The 21,061-nt window shown below is 41.4% G+C and overlaps 1 protein-coding gene across 5 annotated transcripts in view; it reads left to right on the top strand.

Annotated features, from left to right (window-relative positions):
• Positions 1–21,061, top strand: part of RIPOR2 (RHO family interacting cell polarization regulator 2) — a 237,885-nt gene that overhangs the window by 69,749 nt on the left and 147,075 nt on the right. The gene's annotated exons all lie outside the window — the stretch shown is intronic.

The raw sequence follows: 21,061 nt of genomic DNA, 5'->3' as shown, positions 1-21,061 counted from the left end.
AGTTCCCTGTAGTGTGAGTCCTGAGATGAGGGATGTGAACTGACCAGGAGCAGGAAAAATGGAAATGTTCTAAGTTATGCAGGTTAAGATTGCATTTAGCCCTGTTTTGTTGTTGTTGCTGACTACATATGGTTGACTTTTACATTGAGTTTCACTGTTACCTAAACTGCCTACATTTTTTTCTCCATAGACTGCTAACAAATTCCATATCTATATTTCTGCATATCTTTGTAAGATTCAAATATAAATTTTTTTCTTTACCCTGTTACATGCCATCTTGCTGAATTTGGTTCGATCAAGTAAAGGCAATTAAAGGATAGAAACGTTTTGGTTCTATCAAGTAAAGATAATTGTGTAGCTGTCCTACCACTACACAGTGGCAACATAAACTCCATGGAAATCTCACTTTTTTGCCCCTTATTGATGATAATAATAATAATATGTCGAAAGCTCTATATTCATTATTCCATTTTGATTTGCACAAATACTCTATGAAGTAGGTACAATTACTCTCCTCATTTTATAGTTGAAGAATTTGACACTTGGCAAGACTCATTAAACTTGCTCAAAGTCATAACTATATTTGCTGATTTTCAAAGCCAAGTTATCAAGTAATGGACCTCATTTCCTCCTGGGATTTGGAGTTCAGTGCTCAAGGCTCAACAAGTCACTGCCTGCCGGCGTTGGGATCTGCCTTCATGGTTCCATCTAGCTCCAAAGTTTTCAAGACACAGAGCCCTAAATGTTCATAGCTGCTTCAGGAAATGAGGGGAACCCTCCTCAATGTCATCAAATCATTTAGTCAGAACAGATCTTTCATCTGTTTTGTATCCTGGGCTTTCTATTAACCACGCATAGGAAGAAAGAAAAATATTGGTGCCAAAAATAAATTTGCAAAGCACCCATCCTGAACTATCAGTCAACATTTTGAAAGGACCAGTGATAGAAAAGAGCCATAACAGGCTGCGAGAGCACTCCTGCCAGGTTGGCATTCAGCTAGTTAATCACAACCTGCTCAAATCATTCCTGTATCCCTATATCCAGCACATGTGTCTCCATGTCTATGGGATATCCTAAAAGTGCTTGTCAATGACTTGCTAAATCCAGAGACAACATGTCACCCTGATCTCCCTGATCGAAGTCTTCTTGGCAGTAAGGCAATGATGGCAGGCTGCCTTGTTGCCCATAAACCCATGCTGTGCTATGGCCAGTGTCCATTCTGAATGGAAGGAGTCAGCCACAACTGCTATTAATTATGGTGACTGCCACTCTTGCTGGTAGTTTTTTGCTTCCTCTTCTAAGTCCCTATGAAGCATCCCTTTAGTAGTCCACTTTTAATACCTTGTTCAACTGCCACAATAATAAAAATACTGTCATAACTAGGCTTGACCATGTTCCAGGCACGATTTCAGTGCTTTACATGATGATTATCTCATTTATTTCTGTCACTAGCACAAAGAGGTGAGTACTGTTGTCATCCCCACTTTCAGATGGGGAAACTGGAGCTTAGAGATGTTAAAAAAATTTGTGCAATGTCTCATAGCCGCTTGCTAGTGACTCCAGAATTCAAAGCCAGGCCGTCTGACTACAGAGTGCAGACTCCTACCACTACACAATGGCAACATAAACTCCATGGAAATCTCACTTTTTAATTTTGCCTTTTATTGAAAATCAGCATGATATTTCCCTGGTTTCAGAATCTCTGACCCTTTCCCCACCCCGCAGTTCCTTAAATACACACTCACAAGGGCTCAACAGTCTCTCTTCTCCCTACTCTTAATACATTAGGATGTCATTCATGTGAACCCGGAGGCTATAAACTGATTGACCCAGGGTTCCCCACAGATTACCAAGACAGCTTTTAGTTCACCGTATTCTCGGGTTCCTCCTGAGGAGGGTCCAGTTCAGTAGGCCTGGAGTCAGAGAAGGTGCAGGAATTTGAATTTGAAAAGTCCCTTAGCTATCCACCCTCCCCTGTTCTTGCTCTTGCTTTGTAAAACCTGTCTCTTCTATTTTCAGCCCTGTGCCAACCTGTATGCAGAATTCAAGACCTCTTTGAGTTTCCCTAAATAATCCTCTACTGCCTCCGCTCACCTCACAAAAATTATCATTGGGTGGTATAGAGGCTTATTGAAGACTTTGTAGGGGAGAAGGAGTAAGGGATTCATAACACCACATACCTCACATGGTGAACATCTGAACCAGATGTCTCTGTTTGTCATGGTCCCACGTGCTCTGACAATTGGTCCTTTTTTTTTCGTCCCCTTTCTTTCCCCCTCCAACTTCCATGAGGTGCTCAGCCCTGAAGGTCTCTTTCCTTCCCTTTCCCAGGCTTCCCATCCAGGAACTTCAGAGTCCTCTTGCCTCTTCTATAAAGAACATTTTAATTCCACTCCCCCTTAGCTATCCCCAGACTCATTTATTTTGTTTATTCAACAAATATTTATTGAACAGCTACCATGTGCAGCACAGTTCTAGGCACTGGGGAGACAGCAGTGAACAGACAAGGTCTCTGTTGGCTCTGGGAAGTTCTTTAGGAGGCGGCATCTGGTAGAGACTGAAATGTCAACAAGGTGCCAGCCAGGTTAGGATCAGGAAAGGTGAGCATGAAGCATAAAGGACCTGAGGCTTGTGAGCTCAGCAAGTTGGGGGTACAGTAAGGGGCAGGGCAGTGGCTGTATGGCTGGCCCCACAAGTGAAGGGGAGAGTGGAGGGAAGTGAAGTTGGAGTGGGAGCAGGGCCAATCAAAAAGAGCCTTATCAGCAAAACCCATTCTGCTACTGGTCACTAGGGCTCATCGACCTTAAATGACAGCCTAGTGGCTTAGAGGGCCCCTCAACAATTCAAGTTTGCACATTGGGGCCTCACACCCCACTCCAACAAGTGGCCCACACTGTGAAAATAAGTGAGTAAAAAGTTATTCAACTCAGTATGTCAAAGAGCTTCTTTGGGTTATTCACTAGAATATGCAACCAGAATGGAGAACTACTGTTTTAGATCCCAGCTCCCTAAAATTTAACCTGCACGTGAATCACCCCAGGATCTTGTTAAATGGCAAATTCTGATTCTCACCCACAGTGGCTCAACAGGAATGGGCCTGAGAGTCTGCATTTCTAAGTTTACCAGGTGATCAGATATTGCTGTTCCTTGGACCACTCTGAATAGCGAGTCCCAAATCGGTGGTTCTCACCTGGAATAACAGTAACGGCATCACCCCAGAGCACATACAAAATGCAAATTCCCAGGCCTCCTCCCAGGACTACTGGGTGGGGCGCAAAGATCTGTGGTTTAACAAGACCTCGAGGTGATTCTGATGCAAGCTAAACTTTAAGAACCACTGCCCTAGAATACCTAAGGGCTTTTTCACAAGCACTTTATATCGCTTGTCTAATGATGGGAAGGTGGTTGAAAGTCATGAAAAAAGGGAAAAGCAAATGAGGTGATTAAACGGGCCACCTACAGAGGCAGCCAGGAGTCACAGGCACTGCCTCTGAAAGGTGTAGCCAGTTCAGTATAGGTCAGGCAACCAGCAACATGATGTCACGCAGGGTTTCTATTGACAGTTTGGGCTGCATAATTCTTTGGTGCTGAAGACTGTACTGTGCATTGTAGGACATTTAGCAGCAGCAGGCCAGGGACTGAAGTGAGGCCAGGAAGATGCTAGGGCACAGAATTTAAGGAATGACTCACTCTCAGGGTCCTGCAAGTGTAGGCTTGGCATGTGCGTGATTCTGAATGTGCCCTCCTAAAATCCCTCATCCTAGTCCAGATACTGTTTAGCAGCATCCTTGGCCTCTACCTATTAGATGCCAGTGGCAACCTCTCATCATCCCCCTCTGCAATTTTTGACAATTGCCTCCAGACATTGCCAGATGTCCCCTGGGGAGCAAGGTTGTCCCAGCTAAGAACCGCTGGTTAGTGGAAAGCACAGGATTAGTTGCAGACTCAAGTTCTAATCCACAGGTGGTCCAACTGGAGACTGGGTATACACGGGGCGTCCACTCAGCAGGGAGTGACACCAGCAGGAGTGAATGTAGAAAATACCCCAAAGGTGCTTCCAGAAGTGGAGGGGTCCTCTCTGACCTCTTAATGGCAGCAATATCTCAAATCATTGTCAGATAGAGGAAAGGCAGTCAAGGCCCTCATTTGAAAGATGGTATCGAGAGGTCAAAGTGCAACATATAAAAGTTAACTGCATATAAGATTGGTGTCTTGGCTGGGTGCAGTGGCTCATGCCTGTAATCTCAGCACTTTCGGAGGCTGAGGCGGGCAGATCATCTGAGGTCAGGAGTTTGAGACCAGCCTGGCCAACATGGGGACACCCCATCTCTATTAAAAATAGAGCCAGGTGTGGTGACACGTGCCTGTAATCCCAGCTACTTGGGAGGCTGAGGCAGAAGAATCATTCAAACCTGGGAGGCGGAGGTTGCAGTGAGCTGAGATCACGCCACTACACTCCAGCCTGGGTGACAGAGCGAGACTCCATCTAAAAAAAAAAAAAAAAAAAAAAGATTGAGATCTTGCAGCCAAGACAGGTGGTCCATGGTCTCAGGTCTGAAGACCTGGGCTCTGATCACAACTCAAGTCCCAGATACTTAGTCTGTAAGTCATATAACTTTTCTTACACCTCAGTTTCCTCATCCACAAAGGAAAATAATGAGAATGCCTATCTTTCAAGGCTATTTTGAGGATTAAATTAGATCATGTATTATTACACAGGAAAACAACTAATATATTCTTTAATTCATCCTGTAACTTCTGCCCTAATGGAAGCTTTATGCTGGTTAGGAGAGGGACCAATTATATGTTATAAACAGATCCTTGGATTTCTCAGGTACAGTCATATGGGAAATGCACCCAGGGCATGTCAGAAGGCCTGAGTTGCAGGGACCTCTTGGCTTCTCACCAGCTGTGTGATCTTGATCACCCTTGCCAGCTCTCAATTTCCTCATCAACGAAATGAAGAGATTGGAACAGATGGTACCAAGGCCCTGCTTCCTTCCACCATACTGTGATTCTGTGCATGGTGGCAGTAGATAACACATCTTTATCCTTTATACTGTACTTGGACAATATCTTGGACCAAACTTCCCCCAACATGCTTCTTCTTATTCACCAGTTCCACACATCCACATAGTCTCCTTCAAATTCACATGCCCAGAGTCCTGTGAAAATGAGCTCACATGATTTCTCAAGCCATGACATGCTCCTTCCCAAGACAGAGTTCTGAGGTTCCATAATGATAAGAATGGTTTAGGCTCTGTTAGCTTTCTTCAAAGCCTTCTTCAAAGATTGACTCACTAGCCCTTCTAATTATGTACCAGTTCCCAATGGGGAGACACTCCTTTGGTCAGTAACTCAAATAAATCTGTAGAACCAAGTAGGGGGAAGACATTCTGTCCGTGTCCGCACTGCCTCCAGGATATTGAAAGAAAGTGGTTGATTTGAAGTAGCTTCACCTCTGTACAGCTCCTGAGACCACCTTGAAGGACTTGCCATAAAGAAAGAAACTAATATCTATGGAGTTCTTATCATATAGCGGATACTCTGCCTTTTAATCCTCTTCGAAGGATAATAGCATAAATATATATTTAATTAGATACAAATTCTTTGCATGGTCAAGTACAGCACAGAGACTTCACTAAGCTCATCACCTGTCCTTATTCTCCCCCTGGCTGCTAATGTGGGTTCACATGGCAGTGCTGTACCTTGGATCATGCCTCACTCTCCATTGTCCTTCCCATTTAGACAGAAATAAACACAAGGATGAGCCTCCCACATAACATGACTTCATCATGCATAATTGTTGGAATGAAAACCTCCTGGTTGCATATCTGCACAATGCCAATGATTACAGTGATTAAATCAATCAAGCCCAATTTCATAATCCTCAAGTGTATAATTTCCCGACTCGGCAGGGACCCAACACGTGGCATCCCAGCTGTCTGATATAGGAATCAAAAACGCAGTATTAAAGAAAACATTTTGGGGAGGGAGGCTAGGTAATTTTGTAAACTTAATATCATATTAATAAGAATGATGAAACACAATACTATTCCATGAAAATTATGTATTATGATAGTAAAATATCTAGTGATAGCCATAGTTATCTAAGAAGCTTTATGAGATGCATTCTGTGCTTCTGCAGAGAGCTTGATGGTAATCTGTCCATCTGATGTATGTGCTGGTTGATGCTTCTGGGGTTACAGGTTGAGATCTTTAAGCTTCATAAAGTGAGGACAGGCTCAGATGGGAAGCATGGTCCACAGCTTCTGTTCCTTCTCTATAGCTAAAGAGAAGAAATTGTACCAGAGCCAAAGGAGGAAAAAGATTATATATCCTCTTTCATGCTTTTCACCCAATCTCATTCTGTTTTTCTAATAAAGCAATCATTTAATTCCCTGCTGCAGTTGGTTTTGTACATGTTTCAGAGTCCTCAGTTCATTGTGTTGTGATCATCTGAGATCCTCCAAATTAGAGTTTGAAACTCTTGCAATACAGAAGAAACAAATTTGTCCATAGTTGTATCTACCATGTGATGAGTACGTTTGAAAGTTACTGAGATGGAGCACATGGAAGGGCCTATACAATGGCTCTTGAAATTCAATTTCTAGACTTAGGTGTAAATAAAAATAGTGTTTTCATTATAATAATTCATTAGCTACACATTTGTTTTGTGTATAGCTTTTCTTTTTCTAGATTTTATTTCCGATAAAATGTTTTTTAAAAAAATCATTGATCTGCAAACAATTGTAAAAGAAACTATGTGTAGTCGGGAAAGACCCACAAAGACTTCAGGCATCATGTAATTAAATTATCAGACACAGACTATAAGATGGTCATGTTTAATATGTTTAAAGAAATACGCAAGTTTGAAAATATGTGCAGGAAACCAAGAACTATATAAAACAAACAAGCAAACTTCAAAAAGAATGAAGTAGTACTTCTGGAAATGAAAAATAAAGTAACAGAATTAAAACTTTGCCAGGTGTGGTGGCTCATGCCTATAATCCCAGCACTTTGGGAGGCAGAGGTGAGAGGATTGTTTGAGGCCAGGAGTTCAAGACCAGCCTGGGCAACATGGTGAAACCCTGTTTCTATAAAAAGTACAAAAGTTTGTTGAGTGTAGTAGTGTGCACCTGTAGTCCTAGCTACTCATGAAGCTGTGGTGGGAGGATCTCTTGAGCTTGGGAGGTGGAGGCTGCAGTAATTGTACCACTGTGCTCTAGCCTGGGCAACAGAGCAAGACCCTGTCTCCCAAAAATAAAATAAAAAAAATAAAAAATAAAAAAATGTAGCTCAGAGAGACAAAGAAATGGAAAATTGAAAGAAAGGTTAAAAGATATGGAAGATAGAGTAAAAAATAAAAGATGACAGAGCAAAGACAATATCCAAAATATATAAAGAACTCTCAAATCTTAGAAATAAGAACGTAAAAACCCAATTCAAAAATGAGCAAAAATTTAAACAGGTACTTCACCAAAAAGAAATACAGATGGCAAATAAGTACATAAAAAGATGTTCAATATCACTAGTTATTAGGAAAATGCAAATTAAGACCAAGATGAAATATCAATACACATCTACTAGAACAAGTAAAATAAAAAATACTGACAATACCAAATGCAGGTGAGTATGTGAAGAAACTGGATATTTCATACATTGCTGGTGGGGGTATAAAATGGTATATCCACTTGGGAAATTAGTTTGGCATTTCCTCAAAAAAGTAAGCATTCACTTACCATATGGTACATCAGCACTCCTCAGCCTTATGATACAGAAATTAACATTTACATCCACACAAAAACCTGTACACAAATGTCCATGTAGTATTATTTCCAATAGTCAAGAAATGGAAACAACCAAAATGTCTCCCAGTAGGGGAATTGCTAAACAAACTATGGTATATATCCAGCCATACAATATACTCAGCAATAAAAAGGAGGGAACTATTGATACACACGGCAACTTGAATGGACCTTGAGGTCAACATGCTGAGGGAAAAAAGCCAATCTCAAAAGGACACAGGTTGTATGGGTTCAATTATACATTTGCAAACATTGTAAAATGTCTTATAACAGGTTAGGAGTTGCCAGGGATTAAGGACAGTGATGGGAGGGTAGTATGTGTGACTATACAGGGGTAGCATGAGGGAGAGCTCTGTAGCGATGGAACAATTCTCCATCTCAATTGTGATGGTAGTTACAGGGACCTACGCATCTGGTGAAATGGCAAAGAAACACACACACACACACACACACACACACACACAGAGCCAATGTCAATTTCCTTGTTTTGATACTGCACCAATGTCAATTTCCTGGTTTTGATACTGCACTAAAGTTATGTAAAAAGTAACCATTAGAGCCAGGTGGTGGTGAGCACCTATAGTCCTAGCTACATGGAAGGCGGAGGCAGGAGGAGGGGAGGATCGCTTTAGTCCAGGAATTCGAGACCAGCCTGAGAGAACCTGTCTCAAAAAACAGAGTGAAGGGTACATGGGACCTCTTTGTACTATTTTTGCAATGTCCTGTGAATCTACAATTATTTCAAAAGAAAAGTTAGAAAAAGAAAACATAAGGTATGAGAATTTTCCACAACAAGATCAAAGACACGTATTTTTACCCAAAGGCTAAGCGAATGCCAAGGAGGACAAATACACACACACACACATTCACATGCATGCACAAACATACGTACACCTTTTTTAAAAACTGAAATAGAATTGTGCTATACATAACTTTTCTGCAGCTTGCTTTTTCTCTTAACAATGCAAATTCCATGAGAGATCTTTTTTTATCCTTGTCTTCCCAGAAAAATGCCTTACATATTAATATGTACATATTGGTGTATATGTATATATGTGTACTTATGTACATATATGTGTCCATTTCATGAAGAGCTACATATATACCATTTGTTCTATTCTATTATTTTACACTTGTTCTTAGGTATCATCTAGAGATTTAAGACTATGTCAACATTTTTATAAAAAGAGTGAGCACTAGCTTTTCCTCTTCTAGGTGTGGATTATTTGCCAAATGCAAACCTCTTTGTAGGGGTTCAAAAAGTGGGGTAAACACATGCGACCAGGCATGGTGACTCATGCCTGTAATCCCAGCACTTTGGGAGGCCGAGGCTGGTGGATCACTGAAGGTCAGGAGTTTGAAACCAGCCTGGCCAACATGGTGAAACCCCGTCTCTGCTAAAATTACAAAAAATTAGCTGGGTGTGGTGGTGGGCGCCTGAAACCCCAGCTACTCCAGAGGCTGGAGAATCGCTTGAACCCAGGAGATGGAGGTTGCAGTGAGCCAAGATTGCGCCATTGTATTCCAGCCTGGGAGACAATAGCGAAACTCTGTCTCAAAAAAACAAAAACAAAAAAACACATGCATTCTCTGCTGTGGTTTGCGTAGCCAATCAAAGAAAGGGATAGACACAGGAGAACTAGAGAACCCTGCTCCGGTGGGATTTGCAGTTTTGATTCTCCCTAGCCTGGCCTCCATCAACAAAGATACCTTGAGTCATTCATTTTTCCACTTCCAATCACTGAATCCCAAGTGGAGACCTCAAGCAAATTCACTCTCCAACAATACTTCTAGAGAATTTGAACAGATGTATGCCATTCTTCAAAGAGATTTTCACAAGACTAAGGAAGCCAGGATGAATTTTGTCACCTTTTTATGTATATCAGTGTACAATCTCCTTTTTGCTGTAATGTAGCTCATTTTCAAATGCTATTAAGTGGCTAAAAGCTCAAACCTTACCATACTAAAAAAAAACCATGAAGTTTCTTTTATCCCACCTCTCCTAGACAATACATGTTACCATGAAAACCAAATAAAAAGATGATATATCCATGGCATTAAATACAAGGATAGACTAGTAGATTAAACATTCTTTAATGGAGTGAATATTCTTCTCATAGTAGTGTCTTTTAAACTCATCTCTCCGTTTACATTCCCAATGCACCTGCTCTAGATGCAAGCTTTATTATTGCCTTCTAATTATTCTCCCCGACCTCCAAACTCTCTCCTCCCCAAACCATAATTTATGTCACAGGAAGAATAATCTTCCTAAAATAGCTTTTTACTTATCTCTTCTGTAAGGCCTTGCATGGCCACCCAAAACCTGTAATTTTAAGTCCAAACAACTTGTTCAAGCAGCAAAGCAGTAAATCGAAAAGAATCTCAGTTGCCAGATATTCTTACTTTTCTTAATCTGGTGGTCAAGGTCATCTGTACCCTATACAATCATATCTCCCACTGCAACATCCCTTCACAAACCCACCACCTTACAGCTAGTTAGCACAATGGTTGAAAGCATGGGTTCTGGCGCCAGACTGCCTGAGTATGCATTTGGCTGCTGCTTCTTGCTGGCTGGGAGACTTAGAGTGAGGTGCTTAGCCTCTCTGGACCATACTTTCTTCACATGTGTAATGAGGGTAATAAAAGTACCTGCCTCAGGCTAGCATTTAAAAAATGCTTAGAATAGGCGAGGTGCGGTGGCTCATGCTTATAATCCCAGCACTTTGGGAGGCCAAGACGGGCAGATTACCTGAGGTCAGGAGTTTGAGACCAGCCTGACCAACATGGGAAAACCCCATCTCTACTAAAAATACAAAAAATTAGCCAGGCATGGTGGCAGGTGCCTGTAATCCCAGCTACTCAGGGAGGCTGAGGTAGGAGCATCACTTGAACCTGGGAGGCAGAGGTTGTGAGCTTAGATTGTGCCACTGCACTCCAGCCTGGGTGACAGAGCGAGACTGTCTCAAAAAAAAAAAAAAGCTTAGAATAACAACTGTACCCCAAAGTAAGCACAAAATAAATAGGGATTTTCTTACTTATTGCTTTATCCTTACTGCCTATGACAGCAGCCACCCCATATACAAGGAAAGTGAGGCTTGGAGAGGTTAAGTGACTTGCCCCAGAGCACAGAATTCCAGGCTACATGTTTGACTTCAGAGCCACCCAAGGAGCACCATATTACACTGTATGCATCAACCCCTGGCTTTTCACAAGCTAGGGACTTCTTAGGTGTTGCTCAAATTGTTTACTAAAATATCTTGAACATGCTAGCACCAGTCCCTTTTCACACAATGTTCCCCCAACCTGGAATACTCCCTTCTCCAACAAGTATCCCCCCGATGTCTTATCAGTTCAAACTGTTCCACAGTGTTCTCTTCCTCTTCTTAATATTTATGGCACTTTAACAGCCTATAAAACTCACTGGCACTGGTCATATCCTGTCTTGTATCATAACTTGTCTTTTTTATGTGGCTTGTTTTGCCAACAAGACTGTAAATTTACTGAGGATGGTGGTGTTTGCCTTATGGTTCTTTGTGTTCTCAGCGGGGTCCAGCATGGCACCTTGCCCAGAGCCGACTCTCCTCAAATTGTTGCTCAGTGATAAGTAGGAGCAAAAGCAGCTAGAAATGGACAAAGTATCCCTTGATTTCCACCAACACCCGTTTTTCTGCTGTAGCACATTCCACCCCTCACTCGTATGACTGGGGAGAGTCTTGGGGGCTGGAGGTTAATAACATGTGCTGTGGTTGGAAGGTTTGTGTCCTCTCCAAAATTCGTGTTGAGGCCAGGCACAGTGGCTCATGCCTGTAAATCTAGCACTTTGGGAGGCCAAGGCAGGTGGATCACTTGAGCCTGGGAGTTTGAGATGAGCCTGGGCAACATGGAGAAACCCCATCTCTACAAAAAATGGAAAAATTAGCCAGGTGCACTACAGGTGCATGCCTGTAGTCTCAGCTGCTGGGGAGGCTGAGGTGGGAGGATCAACTGCACCAGGGGAGGTCAAGGCTGCAGTGAGCTGAGATTGCACCACTGCTCTCCAGCCTGGGTGACAGAGTGAGACCTGGTCTCAAAAAAACAAACAAACAAAAAATTCAAAACTTATGTTGAAGCTCAATCCCCAGTGCAGCAGTGTTAGGAAGTGGGGCCTTTAGGTAGTGATTAGGTGATTAGACCATGAGGGCTGGATACTCATGGATGAGACTAGTGCCTTATAAAAGGGCTGGAGAGAATTAGCCTAGGCCCTTCCATCCCTTCTCCATGTGAGGACACAGCATTGAAGGCGCCATCTTGGAAGCAGAGACCAGGCCCTCAGCAGACACCTAAACTGCTGGTGCCTTGACCTTGGACTTCCCAGCCTCCAGAACTGTGAGAAGTACATTTCTATAATTTATAAATTACCCAGTCTCAGGATTTTGTTGTAGCAATACAAACAGACAACAACATGCATCCTCCATACCCTTTTTGGTGTCTGTTCCATACCTGGTTTTTACAGTGTAGAGGAAGTAACTAAAAATGAACTAACTGTATTCTCTTCTGGAGGTCCAAGAATGCCTAGAGGGACAACCTTTTTTCTCCCTGAACTTGTAACACGTTTAGACTTAGAGAAGGAGGTAAACAAAAGAAAATTAAAACATCACCTGTGTTATAGGAAATTTAGACACATTTTTAATGTAGATAAAAACCAGGTTGGAGAGTGTGGCTTAGGTCTGTTGGCCAAAAGGTGGCATAACATTGACCCCCCAGAATTAGTGTTTGTTTCCCACCAAGTCATAAGCAGCACAAGACAGCCACAGACCTTCCCCGTGGAGTTTTGCCCCAATACAGTTTAGTGTGTGGAGAAACAGAGGACATGCCGGCAGTTGGTTACAAAGAGGAGAGAAAAAGGCTAATTGGGGTATGCTCATGGCCTTCTTCCAAAATTTACCAAGCAGTTAGTTTGCTTTTAGCTGAGGAGGATGAATGAGGGAGTGATGAGGACAGAAGCATTTATCTAATGTGTGTTCCTCCATGTGGAAATATAAAATCAAGGAGAGAGAGAGTCCCCACAACAGCCTGCAGCTGTCTTTACCCATTGGGTTTCAGCACTACATCCGTGGTTAACCAGAAGTGAGGCCACCCTCCTGGGAAAAAAGGTCAGCAGTCTATTAAAGCAATCTTTCCTACTTTCATGAGACCATTCCTCCATTACCAGCCCTTTTCCTGTGTGGATCCTCCTAGGACCTGTCATGGACATCACAGATTTTGCTCTCAGAAAATTCTGAAATGAAACAGTGCATTAATTACATTAACTCCAAGGCTACCAGTTATGAGTTGAATTTTGTCCCCATAAAAAGATATGTTGAAGTCCTAACCTTTGGTACCTCAGAATGTGACTTCCTTTGGAAACAGGATCATTGCAGATGTAATTAGTTAAAATGAAATTATACAGGAATAGGGTGGGCCCCTAAGAAGACACAGAGATGCAGGGAGAATGCCATGTGAAGATGGAAGCAGAAGGGCCACGTGCAGTGGCTCATGCCTGTAATCCCAGAAGTTTGTAAGATCAAAGCTGGAGGATGGCTTGAGCTCAGGAGTTCAAGGCTGCAGTGAGCTATGATTGGCCACTCCACTCCAGCCTGGGCGACAGGGTGAGACCCTGTCTCCAAAAAAAAAAGAAAATGTAGAGCTTGGAGTGGTGCATCTACAAACCAAGGAACACCAAGGATTGACGGCCATTTCCAGAAGCTAAGACAGAGGAGGCATGGAAGGGATTTTCTCTCAGAGTCCTTGGATGACCCCCACCCTCCTCACACCGTGATTCCAGACCTCCAGCCTCCAGAACTGTGAGACAATAAATTTCTATTGGTTTCAGCCACCCAGTTTGTGGTACTTTGTTACAACAGTCCTAGAAAATGAATAAACCATCGTATACCCAAGAGTGAAAGTTCACTCTGTTTCTCACCCCAAATTATAGGCAGACATGTTTCCAGTGTAGCTCATCAAACATCAAAGAGATAACACATCATTGGGTGTTGATTATACGTCTCAGGAATAATAATTAATTTTAATAGCAAAATTCTAAGAAATCTTTCATTTCTTCTAAGTGTTTATTCTCCCCCTCTCATGCTAAAATAAGGAGTTAATGCGCTGGGAAGTAACTAAGTAAAAAATGTGTTGAAGAAATAGAAATGTGTTTATTTTGATTTTCAGAGAGGTTTATTTTAACTTCCATTTTAAATTTAGGTTGCCTTTGTGAGAAGGCTAAAAATAGATCTAATGGATATTAATATTGTGTTAAATTAATTTTGAGTATCAGAATCCATCCTTCCTTAGATCATTTTCAATTAAGGTGCATATGCAAATTCTGCTTTGCACATGTCAACATTATTTAGTAGATGCATTTGTACATATGACCATACTACACTATAATAACCATAGTTATTATTTAGTGTTCTATAGTGTTTCATTGCAAAACATAGCTTTTTAAAATTCATTCTCTGATTCTTAGGCATTCGGATATTTTTCCATTTTTGCCTAAATAACACATCTTTGTGTATATTTTTTGTTCTCTTAGATTATATCCTTAAGTTATTTTTCAAAAGACATTACTAGATCAAACTATTAAGAGTATGTTACTTGTCACCATCATACACTCAAGAAAGACTGATCCAGTTTACAATACCACCAACAGTGTTATCAGAAGGATTTGTAATTTTTTAAGTGTAATTGTTTATTTGTTTTTGCTTTTTTGTTTTTTGAGACGGAGTCTTCGCTCTGTCGCCCAGGCTGGAGTGCAGTGGCACGATCTCAGCTCACCGCAAGCTCTGCCTCCTAGGTTCACTCCATTTTCCTGCCTCAGCCTCCCAAGTAGCTGGGACTACAGGCGCCTGCCACCATGCCCAGCTAATTTTTTTGTATTTTTCAGTGGAGACGGGGTTTCATCATGTTAGCCAGGATGGTCTCGATCTCCTGACCTCGTGATCCACCTGCCTCGGCCTCCCATAGTGTTGGGATTACAGGCGTGAGCCACTGCACCCGACCCTCCTTCTCATTCTTTAGGAATCATTTGGCCATCACTCCCTCCAAAAGTCTTTCCTGACTCCCATGGCTCTATCAAATGCCCTTACTAAGAGCCCACAGAACCCTATATTTCCCCTATGATAATGACACTCATTGCATAACATTGGAATTGCCAGTTAACTTTTCCCAGCCACCCATTTACCAGCTATGTAACTTTGGACAAGTTACTTAACCTCTTGATGCTTTATTGCCTCATATGAAAAGTGGGGATATAAATAGTACCTATATCATAGTCTTGCTATGAGGATTAAATAAGATAATATTTGTAAATCACCAAGAACAGTGACTGGCACATTGTAAGTACAACTTAAGTGTTTCTTAAAAAGAGTCGTTACACGTCTTTAGACAGTGAGTCCCAAGAGAGATTTTTAAAAATCTTCCTGTTGCATCCTTTATAAATGCTACTTAATGAATAATACATCAATCAATTAATTAAGCAAATGTACCAATAATTCAAAGCTACCTCATATTTTCAAGATCCAGGAGAAATGGTGGATAATAGATGAAATAAGTTTTCAGAGAAGTCAAGAGAAGACAGAGGCAGAAACAAAGATAACAGTTTAAGTTGGTGGAGAAACGATAGGTTGTTCAATAAATAAAACTTGGATCATTTGTTAACCATTTGGAAAAAACCTGAAGTGAGAATCCACCCACAGCAAAAACAAAAGTAATTCTACGTGCAACTGGTAATCGAAAGAGAAAATCTTAAAAGAACTACAAGAAAACAAAACAATGTTTATCTGATTCTGAGCTAGAGTAGATATTTGCAAGCAAGGCACAGAGAGCAAGATTTATTGATGTGGAAAGACGTTCCCTATAAATTGAGAGCTGTACAGATGAGTTATTAAAACTCCAGCCTCTGCGGCAGACTGCCTAGGTCCATAGCCCACCTCTACCGCTTAAAAACTTCAAACAGATTACTTAAATTCCTTAGGCCTCAGTTTCCTCATCTAGAAAGTGGGGATTATCATAATAATTACAACTACCTAGCGTGTCATGAGGATTAAATGAAATATTTGCATATCACAAATGATATAGAATGATATCTGACTGAACTTATTTTTATTAAATTTATATAAAAATTATGTCAGCTCATCATATCTCAGAGGTAAGATGATAAGTATTTAAGTTTTTCTCCCTTTTAACAAAAGTCTAATGGTTTCACAATAAGCATACACTGCTTTTAAAATAAGGAAAAAGTTATTTTTAACCTAAAAAATCATCTTAAAATCTCAGTGTAGAATATTTGTAGTCATGCAAAAATATTTATGATCTATTGTAAGAGGGAAAAAGAGATTTATGAGATAGCATGTGCGGAATAATTTCAATTGTGTAAAAATACTTATTTAATGTGCAGAGACACACAATCATGTGTGGAAAAAACAAAGAATCTACAATGCCAGCAGTAATTGTCTCTTAATGTTTGAGTTACATGTGATTTTTATTTTCTTCTTTGTGTCTTTCATATTTCCTAACATTTTCAATATGGATATGATTAATTACAAAACCAGAGAAAAGTTGTAATTTTTTTTTTTTTTTTTTTGAGACAGAGTCTCACTCTGTCGCCCAGGCTGGAGTGCGGTTGCTGCAATCTTGGCTCACTGCAACCTCCGCCTCCCAGGTTCAAGCAATTCTCCTGCCTCAGCCTCCCAAGTAGCTGGGATTACAGGCACCTGCCACCACACCTGGCTAATATTTTTTTGTATTTTTAGTAGAGACAGGGTTTCATCATGTTGGCCAGGCTGGTTTCGAACTCCTGACCTCAAGTGATCTACCCACCTCAGCCTCTCAAAGTGCTGGGATTACAGCCGTGAGCCACTGCACCAGGCTTGTAATTTTTTTTTTTTTTTTTTTGAAGGAGCAGCATGGACCTTAGACGGAGTAAGAGATAGGTTTTCAACTATAACAGAGGGGAAGAAAAGAAACTGCAGATTTAAAAGCGGAAGAGAAGAAAGTAAGAGAGTCATGCTTGATGGTCTATATTTTCTCTGAAATAGGAGGTGAGATAGGGAGAATGGTTTAAGCTTTGAAATAGTGGGGGGAGGAATGAAAAAGGGCTAACTAGAGATCTTTTTTAAAAATTGTGAGCAGGGGTGAGGGGCCTACTGTGTTTTAAAACTAACTTAATATTGTGTGAGCTGTGAGCCTTCTGTCCCCCAGGGCTCAGATGCCCCGGTCTAGGATATGGAGACAGATTAATCCAAGGCTGATGAGAGGTTACAAAGAAAATATGCCACGCATAGCGGAAGATCTGGAAGGTTCTAAGCCAAAATATTAACAGTGCTTATTTCTGGCTCTTGGGACTATGGTTGGATTTTAAACTTCCTTTTTAAATCTTACTTGCTTTATTTACAATGGACAGGTATTATAAATTGATAAATTTTTTGACAAAAAATTAAAATGCAAACAATACAAGCAAACATATAGAAGTAAACTCTCCTCCCAAAATATCTAATCCAGAGATAACATCCTTGTTCACATTTTGGCCAACATCCTTTCCTCTAAGCACATCTACACATACTCAGTATATATGTCATTACCTGTTCTACAAATCAGGATATATAAACGGCCACAACTCTTAATTCTTTTACTATTTGTTCATGTCCATATATACCACATTAGGAAGAATGCCCTAAGTGCTGCACAGCCACCAAAATGTCTAAGAATCTCAAAGACTTTCTCATTCTAGAAGGCATACATTTTATTATCAATGCTAGGACTCTTGGGAATGAGAATACGTTATTAATCCAACGTGTGCTGTTTATTTCTTTGCCATGAGAAGCCACTATTAAAGACGGGGCCTAAGGCTGAGTGCAGTGGTTCACACCTGTCATCTCAGCATTTTGGGAGGCTGAGGCAGAAGGATCACTTGAGCTCAGGAGTTCGAGACCAGCCTGAGCAATATAGTGAGATATTGTCTCTACAAAAAATTTGCCAGGCATGGTGACACATGCCTGTAGTCCCAGCTACCTGGGAGGCTGAGACAGGAGAAACGCTTAAGCCTGGGAGGTTAAGGCTGCACTGAGCCATGATAACACCACTGCATTCCAAGCTGGGCAACAGAGTGAGACCCTGTCTCAAAAAAAAAAAAAAAAAGGAGAGAGAGACTGGGCCTGCACAGTTCACCAGGTGTGATTCCTGTGTTGCAGCGGCAGTCACTGGTCACCAATCCTCACCTGCCCTGCTGTGTTTCTCAGCTTGGGCTTCAAAGTTGGAGTTCTCCCTTCTAAAGTCAACATTCTGCCAAGGATCATAATTGTGCCAGGGTGTTTGTATCTGAAGACACTGACTAGCGATAAGAGAAAATATTCAGGAATAGGGAGGTCCACTTGCTAAATGCAAACCAGCCTGCCTCTGAGCATCCTCAGGTGCTTCTGTTGAGTCCAAGTTACCAACCCGCCCTCCAGGTAATTTTATTTAGGGCTCTGTATTAGTATGCTTGGGCTGCCATAACAAAATAGCCCTGGTGGCTTCAACAACAGAAATGTATTTCATCACAATTCTTGGGGCTAGAAGTCCAAGATCATCAATGTTCCAGCTGTAAGAAGAAAGCATATCCTTCTTTCCCATCACTAGGTTCATGACTGAGGCTCCAATAACAAAGGACCGATTAACAAGAGAAAAGCAGACAAATTTAATGAACGTAAGTTTTACATGACAGGGGAGCCTTTAGAAATGAAGACTCAAAGAAACAGAGAAGCTTGTGTATTTTTATGCTTAGGTTTGATGACGAGGAGACAGTCATGCAGATGTATGATTGGACAAAGGGATCATCTAATGTTCATAAACTGGGGGAATGTTTTGAAGACTGTTCAGATTCTTCTTTGTGTCTTTGTGTCTTCAGAAATAAGGGTCTACCATTCCTCCAGGTATAGGGAAGGTACTTCTCAAATGAAAGCCTTGTGACCCGCTTCAGCAGAGAAGGATGAGGGAAAGGTGAGAGCGACCTTCTTGCTTCTGCTGTTTTCTCAAATGCCAAGGTACCACACTTTGAAGTAGCATGGCCTGAACCCCATCTCAGCTGATTCGCTTTCTGGTGAGAGCTCTCTTCCTGGCTTGCAGGAAGCTGCCTTCTCATTATGTCCTCACATGGTCTTTCTGTGGGGCACACACCTGGAGAGAGAGAGGGCTCTCCAGTGTCTCTTCTATAAGGACACTAATCTTATCAGATCAGGGCCCCACACTTATGATTTCATTTAACCTTAATTTTTTTTGGGGGGGGGCAGAGTTTTGCTCTTGTTGCCCAGGCTGCAATTCAATGGCACAATATCGGCTCACCGCAACCTCTGCCTCCCGGGTTCAAGAGAGTCTCCTGTCTCAGCCTCCCAAGTAGCTGGGATTACAGGCATGCACCACCATGCCTGGCTAATTTTGTATTTTTAGTAGAGACGGGGTTTCTCCATGTTGGTCAGGCTGGTCTTGAACTCCTGACCTCAGGTGATCCGCCCGCTTTGACCTCCCAAAGTGCTGGGATTACAGGCATGAGCCACCACACCCAGCCATAACCTTCATTATTAATACTTCCTTACTCCAAATACAGCCACACTGGGGATTAGGACTTCTATATATGAAATTCGGGGAGACACATACATTCAGTGCATAACAGGTTCTCACTGTGCTTCCCACTAATTCTATGCCCAGCACTTTCCCCTACTGCGTTATCACATTAACTATATGGCTACTCCTTATTTACATGTGTATGTTATTCTTTCTAGATTTAAAAAAGACTTTTGTAAAGCAAACAGCATACATTGTTTCTTTCTGTCTAGTGGTGTGCTGGAGTCAGCACATACCTGCTTATGAGAGCCAGTTGTTAGTTTCAGAAATGTTGTGAGCTGTTTGTTAAAACAGCCATGATTTAAAATTAAATTATATAAGTGTGCAATTAAATAAATTACATTTAAAACAATGCTAATAAATACTCAATACTCATCAGCTCCTCATTACTACCTTTTATTATTATCTGTGCACTGGAGGTTATTTACATCGATTGTATCTGGTTGGTGGAAATGGTGTGCTACTGTGCATCTCTTCCCAACTTTGCTTCAATGATGTTGCATTAGTAGCTTGAAATTAGTCATGGTGGGAGTATTAGCACTATGAAAATCCATAAGCACTGCAAATCAGCTCCCTTACCTCAGAGCTAGTTATTTAGTTTTTACCAGCATACTACTCGCAGTCTATATCCCCAGCAGCCAACATGACAGGATCCCCAGTAAATGCTGTCTGACTGGCTGGATGAATGGATGGATGATAGGAAAGAATAATAGAGAGAGAGCAGTAGAGATTAGGTGACAGGAATAACAGCTGGCAGAGGATGTTGGCTAGGTGGGGCATTTACTATTCTGCGCTTTACCTTGCAGCCTACCCAGCCAACAACCTCAGTTGTTCTATTTCCTTCTTTGTGGGTTTCTCATGTTGTGTTCTTACACATTGTGCAAAAGAGTGCAATATAGTACAGAAAAAATGTGGTCATCCTATGTTGCTCCATCGCATTTCAAAAGAGGTATAAATTTTACATTCTGGTTCATTCCACTGGAGACAGTGGTGTGGCAATGTCCACTGCAGAATACAGGAAGCCCCACATTTACAATTCACTACATATTTACGACTACTGTGGATCCAGCGGAAGGTAAGCAGGGTGGGGTCCTGTTGTGGCAAGGTAGTCTTTACCACAAGTTCCGTTCTCATATGCCCTCATCCCAGTGTGTAGAAAGAAAGGAGAACTAAATATTGCTGCCAAAGCTGATTATTCTGTGAATTAGGGACCAGTGAAAAAATCCTACCCAGAAAATGCCAGAAGCAAGGTCTGGATTTCTTTTTCTCACCAAACCTTTAAAAACTCCGCCCCACCAACCATGACATTTCCTTTGTACCAGTTTTTAATGTTCCTATGAAGTGCCTTACACAGTTTTCTTTTAGCGCATGTAAACAGGAGAGAAACTGGGAAAAACAACTAGAGTAGCAGAAGCGTGAGGCAAAGGAACTGGAAAGAAAGTGATGGAGAAACATTTATTGTTATAAGCACAGTTGCTTCGGAATTCTCTTTAAGCTGCTTTTGAAGGGATCCTTTTACGGAAGTCTTATCTTTGTCAACAAAATTTGAAGACCCCCTATTCCATTAGTTGGCAGACAACACCATGCAAAGACAGCGATTCGACTGCAAAACTCATGAATGAGCTGATTAATTTACG

This window comes from Homo sapiens, chromosome 6 (genome assembly GCF_000001405.40).
Source record: "Homo sapiens chromosome 6, GRCh38.p14 Primary Assembly".
Taxonomy (NCBI): Eukaryota; Metazoa; Chordata; class Mammalia; order Primates; family Hominidae; genus Homo; species Homo sapiens.
This window is presented reverse-complemented; position numbering and strand designations above follow the sequence as displayed.